A 7,581-nucleotide genomic window follows, 5' to 3' on the forward strand; every position below is an offset into this window, starting at 1 on the left:
TTTGAGGAGCTCTGCAAATGCACTCCCTAGTGAAACTGATGAAAATTCTTTTTTTTAAGTAACCATTTAAAGTCTTAGAAAGTCTCCTAAGGGCATACAGCAAATGAACACACATTTATTCAAAGAAATCTGCTAAAACCCAGTGAGAATAGCAAGAGACTGCAGTATTTGAACCAAGACCTACCCTACCTGAACCTCAGCAAGATGGAATCTCCCCTCAGACTGGTACAACCCAGAACGTAGGCTCTCTTCTCTGTCAGCTCCCAGTTGGAGGACTGTTTCCTAGGAAGGGCAGGAGTTCAACGTTTTTAATCCTGTCCCAGCTATGTGTTGCTGAGGCTGGATTCCAGGCATGTGATGTCCAAGTAAAGATTCCCTTCTGGCCAACCGCACTTACGGGATGGAGACTTTATCTTGGGTGTGATGCCACTGAAAATACTGGGGCCTTGATCACTCTTGCCCACTCATAATGTGGAGGTCTTATGCTGGGAGAGGCAAGCTAGAGAGACCTGAGGCTACTCCTTCCCTCCACCAAATGCTTATCTCCTAAAGCAGAAGTGTCGCTCAAGAGAGAAGCATGCTATCGCCCAGAACTCTGGCTCAGAGATTTTGCCCAGTGGGAGAAGCAAATTATTATTAACAACAACAAAAGCTCTGAATCTCTTCTTCCCAGAGGAACTGATTTATCTGCAACGGAGTGTAGACACATTAAAGCCCAAAATGTTCTTGAAAACAATGGAGGACTTGCTGTTTTATGATAGTGTCAAAAAAAGAAAACAACATAAATGGTGGAGGTTGTGGTGCAAACTAATGTTTAGGAGACTGGTAGGTTCATTAAGCTAAACTGTAAACTGGCTAGATTTTTTTCAGGGGAAGAAAGAGCAAAGAGCCTTCCTGGGATCAGAACAAATCTCAAACACATCAAAAGCTATTCCTTTCAAGGAGTTCATGTTTAATTGGATCAGTCTGTGGAGCAATTTATGCCCCAGGTCTCTGTTGAAAACATAGAGTAACCAGCTGGCAATCAGTGGAGCTTAATAGCTGGGTATGAACACTTAACAGACAAGATAGCCGTGCCAAAACCATCCCAAGGTAGCTGTGTGCATTCACAGTTTGGCTGTACTCTATGAGAGGTCATATCTGAGACTTCAAACTGGGCAGGGTATGGTAGGGAGCAGACAGATACTGACTTCACTACAATAAGCCAGCCAATCACTAAACAAACAAGTACATAATAATAACAAGCCCTGGAGTTAGGAATGAAGAGGACCAGCACCCAGAATTTCTACAGTGTTACCTGGAATATCCAATTTTCAACAAAAAGTTGAGATATGCAAAGAAATGGGAAAGTCTAACCCATATATCGGGGGAAAAAAGCAGACAACCAGGCTTGCCTGTAAGAGGGAACAGATGTCAGATTTAATAAAAGATTTCATAGTAGTCATTATAAATATGTTCATAGAACCAAAGGAAATCATGGTTGAAGAAATAAAGGACAGTATGGTGACAATCACATCAAATAGAGAATGTATGTAGAGATAGAAATTATAAAAAAGAACCAAATGAAAAATTCCACTAGAGGGGCTCAACAGTAGATTTAAACTGGCAGAAGAAAGAATTAGTGAACTTGAAGATTCTAGATCAATAGAGATTATGCAATCCAAAGAAGAGAAAAGAATGAATAAAAAGGAAGAGAGCTTCAGAGAAACGTGGAACACCATTAACTGCTCCAACATACACTTAGTATCGGAAGGAGAGGAGAGAGAGAGAAGGGAGAAAAAAAATTATTTGTTGAAATAATGGCTGAAACTTCTTAAATTTATTGTAAAACATTAATCCACACATCCGGGAACTTCAGTGAACTTTAGAATAAATGCAAAGAGATCCGCAGGCAAATACATCATAGTAAAAATGTGGAAATCCAAAGACCAGGAGAAAACCTTGAAAGCACCAAGTAAAAACTACTTGTACATTTTAAGGAAAGTCATATAAAATTCTGATTTGTCATCAGAAGCAATGGAGGCCAGAAGCATGGAATGACATATTCAAAGTGCCCCCTAAAGAAAACCCCAAAACAGAAAGGTTAACCAAGGACCCTATATCTAGCAAAGTGATCTTTCAAAAATGAAAGCAAAATAAAGAAATTCCCAGATAAACAAAAACAGAATTTGTTGCTACCAGACCCACCTTACAAGAAATACTAGAGTTCTTCAGGCTGAAAGTAAGTGACCACAGACAATAATTCAAATTCACACACAAAAACAAAGAGCACCAATAAAGGTAACTGTGTAATTATAAAAAACAATAAAAAGGCATATTTCTTCTCTTAACTCATTTGAAAAGCAATTCTATAAAACAATATGTATTCATGTATTGTTGGGTCTATAACATATAGGAATGTAATTTGCTAATAATTGCACAAAGGAAGGCAGTAGGGGCAAAGCTGTACTGGATAAAGGAAATGAATCCAGATAATTCATTTCTGGATTCTTGAATCTACAGGAAGAAAGAGAAATAGCATTTTTTTTTAAGGTTAACATAAGGCTGGGCGCAGTGGTTCACACCTGTAATCCCAGCACTTTGGGAGGCCGCGGCAGGCGGATCACCTGAAGTCAGGAGTTTGAGACCAGCCTGGCCAACATGGTGAAACCTTGTCTCTACTAAAACTACAAAAAAAATTAGCTGGGTGTGGTGGTGGGTGCCTGTAATCCCAGCTACTCGGGCGCCTGTAATCCCAGCTACTTGGGAGGTTGAGGCAGGAGAATCGCTTGAACCCAGAAGGTGGAGGTTGCAGTGAGCCGAGATTGCACCACTGCACTCCAGCCTGGGCAACAAGAGCGAGACTCCATCTCAAAAAAAAAAAAAGAAGGATAACATAACAAGGCTGGGCATGGTAACTTATGACTGTAATCCCAGCACTTTGGGAGGCCAAGGCAGGAGGATTGCTTTGAGACCAGGAGTTTGAGACCAGTCCGGGCAACATAGCAAGAGCCCATCTCTACAAAAAATAAAAATTAGCCAAGTGTGGTGGCGTGCATTTGTAGTCCTAGCTACCACTTTAGAGGCTGAGGTGGGAGGACTACTTGAGCCAGGTGTTCAGGTTATAGTGAGCTATGATTGCACCACTGCACTCCATCCTAGGTGATGGAGCAAGACCCTGTCTCTGAAAAATAATTAATATAACAAACACAATAAATGTATACTTGCTCCCTTTTCTCTCAGCTTCTCTTAAAGGCATAAAATTATATAAAGTGATAATTATAACTATGTACTGTTGGATTTGTAACGTTTATAATGTGATATGTATAACAGTGCCACAGAAGGGAAGAAAAGGAACTAGAACGTTGTAAGAGTAATATTTCTGCTTCACCACAATTAGTGTAAATCTGAGGCTGAATCTTGTAAGACAGAGATAGTAAGCTTTAGTCAACCATTGAGGAAATAACTGAGAAAAAAAGTGAAAACAATCATTAAAGAAATTTAAATGGCATATTACAAAATAGTCAATACGAGAGAAAGTCACGAAAGAGGGATAAAAGTCAAGAAAAAGGGATAAAAAAGATATGAGACAAAGAAAACAAAGGAAAATGACAGGCAAAATTCAGCTATTTCAGTAATAAAATTAATGGGAATGGATTAAATAATCCAAATGAAAGGCAGAGATTATCGGATTGGATTTAAGAAAATGCCTGTAATCCCAGCACTTTGGGAGGCCAAGGCAGGTGAATCACTTGAGTCCAGGAGTTCAAGACTAGCCTGGGCAACATAGTAAGACCTTGTCTCTTAAAAAAAATAAACAAAATTATCCATACATGGTGGTATGTTCCTGTAGTCCCAGCTACTCTGGAGGCTGAAGTGGGAAGATTGCTTGAGCACAGGAAGTGCTATGATATATAAAATATATAATATTTTATTAATATATAAATATGTAATATATAAAATAAAAGACACAAACCACATGATCATCTCGGTAGATATAAAAAAACTATTTAACAAAATCCCACACCCTTTCATAGTAAAAACAAAATAGGAAAGAAGGGAACTTCTTCAACCTGAACATCTATGAAAAACTCACAGTGAACATCATCATTATTGGTGAAGATTGGATGCTTACCCCTAAGATCAAGAAGACAAGAATGTCTACCCTTACCACTTCTATTAAACATTGTACTAGAACTTCTAGCCAGGTGGTATGGACTGAATGTTTATGTACGCCCCGAATTTATATGTTGAAGCCTAAAACAATATGTATTCATGTATTGTTGGGCCTATAACATATAGGAATGTAATTTGCTAATAATTGCACAAAGGAAGCCAGTAGAGGCAAAGCTGTACTGGATAAAGGAAATGAATCCAGATAATTCATTTCTGGATTCTTGAATCTACAGGAAGAAAGAGAAATAGCATTTTTTTTTTTTAAGGTTAACATAAGGCTGGGCGCAGTGGTTCACACCTGTAATCCCAGCACTTTGGGAGGCCGAGGCAGGCGGATCACCTGAAGTCAGGAGTTTGAGACCAGCCTGATGGTAGTAGGAGGTGGGGCCTTTGGGAGGTAATTAGGCTTAGATGAGATCGTGAGCATGGAGCCCCATGATGGGATTAGTGCCCTTATAGGAAGAGGAAGAGACACCCACAGCTTCCTGTCTTTCTGCTTAGAACAGAATAAGAAGATGGCTATCCATGAGCTAGGAGGATAGCCCTCATCAGAACCCAGCCATGAAACCACCCCGATCTTGGACCTCCCAGCCTCTAGAACTATGAGAAATAAATGTCTCTTCTTTAAGTCACCTAGTCTATGGTATTTAGTTATACCAGCCTGAGCTAAGACACCAGAGTAATTAGGCAAGAAAAAGAAAGAAAAGGCATTCAGATTAGGAAGAAGTAAAATTGTCTCTATTCACAGCTGACATGATCTTAATGTATAGAATATCTAAGGAATCAACTAAAAAGCTTAGAACTGATTAACAAATTCAGGATGGTTGCAAGATATAAGATCAACATACAAAAATCTGGTGAATTTCTACACACTAGCAATGAACAAACCAAAAATGAAGTTAAGGAAATCCCACTTAAAATAGCATCAAAAAGAATAAAATACTTAGGAAAAATTGAACAGTAGTAGTACAAAGCTTACACTCTGAAAACTACAAAACATTGTTAAAAGAGAAAACTATCTAAATAAATAAACATCCAGTGTTCATAAATCAAAATAATATTGTTAAGATGGCAATACTCTCCAAATATATCTACAGATTCAACACAGTCCTTTTCAGAATTCCAGTTGGCTTCTTTGTGGAAATTGACAAGTTGATTTTCTAAAATTTATATGGAATTTCAAGAGACCCTGAATAGCCAGAACAATCTTGAAAAAGAAAATTGGCCGACTCATACTTCCAAGTTTCAAAACTTACGTGAAACAATAATCAAAACAGTATGGTACTGGCATAATGATAGACATATAAATCAGTGGAATTGAATTGAGGATCCAGAAATAAACCCATGGGTCTTTAGCCAGCTAATTTTCAACAAGGATGCCAAGACCATTCACTGGGGAAATCATCTTCCGATAGCAACATTCAAAAGAATAATGTTGGATTACTAGTATAAGTTTCTAAGGGCTGCTGCAACAATTATTACCACAAACTGGGTGACTTTTTAAAAAATGGAAATTTATTCTCTCATAGTTCTAAAGGTTAGAAGGCTGAAGCCAAGGTGCCAGTAGAGCCACGCTTCCTCTAACGGCTCTAGGAAAGAATCTCTCCTGGCCTCTTCCAACTTCTGGTGGCCCTTAACATTCTTTGGCTATGGCTGAGTAACTCCAGTCTCTGTCTCCGTATTTACATGGCCTTATTCTCTATACTCTCATGTGTCAATTCTACCACTACTTTCTTTTATAAGGATGTCAGTCACTGGCTTTAGGACCCACCTAAATCCAGGATGATCTCATCTCTAAATCTTTAATTACATCTGCAAAGTACCCATTCCAAATAAGGTCACATTCACAGGTAACTTCAAATAGATGTTATTTAACCCACTACAGACCTTACTTTATATACGGTATTTTTAAAATAACTCAAAAATACATCAAAGACCTAAACATAAGAGCCATAAAAAACTTAGAAGGAAACATAAGGGTAAATCTTCATGACCTTAAACTTGGCAATAGATTCTTAGATATGACACCAAAAGCATGAGAAACAAAAGAAAAATAGATAAATATGACTTCATCAAAAGTAAAAACTTCTGTTCCTCAAAGGACACCATCAAAAAAGTAAAAAGACAACTCACAGAATGGGAAAAATATTTGCCCATATCTGATAAGGGACTGTTACTAGAATATATAAAAAAAAAACTTACAACTCTATAATAAAAAGATAAATAGATTTTAATGTGGACAAAGGATCTATATAGACATTTCTTTAAAGAGGATGTACAAGTTGCCAATAAGTACATGAGAAGTGCTCCGTATAATTAGTCATCAGGGAAGTGCAAATCAAAACTACAATAAAATAACACTTCACACACACAGGATGGCTAAAATCAAAAGGTCTGAAAATAAGTGTTAACAAGATGTGGAGAAATTGGAACCCTCTTCTGCTCTTGGGAATGTAAAATGGTACAGCCACTTTGGAAAACATTCTGGCAGTTTCTCAAATAGTTAAGCATAGAGTTGACATGTGACCTAGCAGTTCTATCCCTAAGTATGTATACCTAAGAGAAATAAAAACATAAATCCACATGAAACCTTGTACATGAATGTTTATAGCAACATTATTCTTAATTGCTGTAAGGTGGAAACAAACCAACTGTACATCAATTGCTGAAAACAAATTTTATTATATCCATATGATGGAATATTATTCTGCCATAAAAAGGAATACGGTACTGATACATGCTACAACATAGATGAACCTTGAAAATATGCTAAGTGAAAGAAATCGGTCACAAAAGACCACATATTATGTGATTCATTTCAAGTGAAATTTACAGAACAGGCCAGTCTATAAAGATAGAAAGTATGTTAGTGGTTGCTTAGGGAATGGTCAGTGAGGAGATAGGATGGTGATAACTAAAGAGTACAAGGATGCTTCTTGAGGTTATGATGTTTTAAAACTTAACTGTGGTGATGGTTGCACGTATCTGTGACTATAATAAAAGCCACTGAATTGCATATAGTAAGTAAATGTGAATTATATGGAATGTGAATTATATCTCAACAAAGCTGTTTCTTTAAAAAGAGCCTATTGTATCATTCACCACCAAATAGTATTTATGACTATGCATCGCTGAGGCAACAGATCAGAAAAGGCAGACAAAGAGAAGTGACTAAGATTTTGCCTAATGGTGATTGAGATGGCTGCCAGGAAACTTTTATTTAAAGAACCAAGGAAGTAGAGGTAATTCTTGATTCTGAATACAGGCAACTTGTGTACATTTTTAAACACTACTTTCTGTTTTTTGAACTTGGGAAAAGTTTGCCTAATTACAATGCAATTTTTCTCTAAGTTTATGAATAAAATATAAAGACCTAAATGGAATCTCTTTTCTTTTTCTCCTCCTCCTACCCTTTTTACTTTAAAG

The 7,581-nt window shown here is 37.3% G+C and overlaps 1 protein-coding gene across 3 annotated transcripts in view; it reads left to right on the forward strand.

The window, feature by feature from the left end:
- The window catches only part of PCNX4 (pecanex 4), a 56,311-nt gene that overhangs the window by 34,478 nt on the left and 14,252 nt on the right, over positions 1-7,581 (forward strand). Inside the window, exon 11 of one of the 3 annotated variants that reach the window (XM_047431699.1) lies at positions 7,268-7,397. The exons of the other annotated variants lie outside the window; for them this stretch is intronic. Within the exon in view, the coding sequence (XP_047287655.1) occupies positions 7,268-7,276 (9 nt within the window). The 3' untranslated portion in view covers positions 7,277-7,397. Of the gene's footprint in view, positions 1-7,267; positions 7,398-7,581 lie in introns of those variants that run through there. 3 annotated transcript variants of the gene reach the window in all.

This window comes from Homo sapiens, chromosome 14 (assembly GCF_000001405.40).
Source record: "Homo sapiens chromosome 14, GRCh38.p14 Primary Assembly".
Classification (NCBI taxonomy): Eukaryota; Metazoa; Chordata; class Mammalia; order Primates; family Hominidae; genus Homo; species Homo sapiens.